The 1324-nt window shown below is 39.4% G+C and overlaps 1 annotated feature.

The window, feature by feature from the left end:
* Window positions 613–672: a silencer, noted in NCBI's record as "silent region_6298". NCBI's record gives its function as "represses an Ori minimal core promoter by ATAC-STARR-seq in GM12878 lymphoblastoid cells {active_cell/tissue: GM12878}" and the evidence as "EXISTENCE:reporter gene assay evidence [ECO:0000049][PMID:35858748]".

Genomic DNA, 1324 nt, shown 5'->3' with positions numbered 1-1324 from the left:
CCGCCCAAAGTTTCTGATTTTAGAAACCTGTCAATAGAGAATTTTAAATAAGACATATACCTTTTATTTTATACATGTTTCCAGGAAGGCATCACTGTGATGCATTATAAACAAGCTGAAACTGCAGTGGGCAGTTTTCCATGGTGGGATATGGAAACACATTCTCTGAAATGTGATTCTTCCTATATCTTCTCTTTCTTACAGTTGGTTCTAAGCAAGAACAGATCTACTGAATGGTGAGAAAATGGACAGGGAGTCTTCAAACTTCCTCCTTGTCTGTGCTCCCAACCTCTTTCTGTGTCCTTTTGCAATCCCTTCAGTAGTTTCTCCATGTGACTACATTTTACTGCTTTTGTCCTTCTTACCAGTCCTTCCTCTTGCTACCAAACTCTTCCTCCTCCTCACTTTAAGAAGGCACTCTTAAAAAGTTGAAGCTTCTAGTCCACCCAGAAACAAATTGAGATAAGCTTTTTGAGAGGCTGCTTTATAGGCTGTTTCAATTCAGAGAGATTAAACAGGATGACCTCACTGAAAAAGAAACCACACTTAATAGCTTTAAATGGGACTGCTCTTAGCTGGGTCACCCTGAACCACTGCATACACTTCTTGTTTCAAGTGAATGTGGTGGTTTGGGCCAGAGTGAGTTGTCCGTGAGATAGTTTAAATGCCTTTGCTTTCAGAAATGAGCCAACACCTTACAATGTAAGCAGAGGGAGGGAATATGTAGGTTTGTCTGATATTCAATCCCAAACCCTGAATCCTATTCCTGAGACATCTTGGGAAACTGGCATTCTCTTTCTCTGCTTCTCTCAATGAGAAATTTGTGGAATGCAAGTTCTTCAGAATAGAGACTCCATCCATGTCTCACCCACGTTTATCCTAAATTAGGGACTTCAGATGAACACAGTTTAAGGTAACAGCAAAGAGCATCTCCTTTAAATCAGAAAGACCAGATCTCCACTCCCAGCTTCACTATCAGGGCTGTTGTTGGGGTCAAATAATAAGTTCATACAAGAGCTTATCACAATACTTAGAACACAGTAAATATTTAACACATTTTAATTATTTGTTAGTTTTTATCTTGAAATGGAAGCTGCCTCTATCAACAGCCAACATAAAGAACTCTGGGCTCTGTCCCAAAATATGTGGCCCAAATTTTAACTAAATCAAGACTTCTAGAAAGCTTTTCCTAAATCTCTTTGACTTCGTGAGGGATACTAACTTTTAGTAGCTTGCTCTCTCAGTCTTCTAAAGGGGAAACAGATTTTGCCAACATTAGGAAGTCTTCATTATTAATAGACATTGTTTTGAGTTCCCCCTGGCC

Source organism: Homo sapiens, chromosome 15 (genome assembly GCF_000001405.40).
Source record: "Homo sapiens chromosome 15, GRCh38.p14 Primary Assembly".
Classification (NCBI taxonomy): domain Eukaryota; kingdom Metazoa; phylum Chordata; class Mammalia; order Primates; family Hominidae; genus Homo; species Homo sapiens.
The sequence above is the reverse complement of the archived record's forward strand: the minus strand, read 5'-3'. Positions and strand labels throughout refer to the sequence as shown.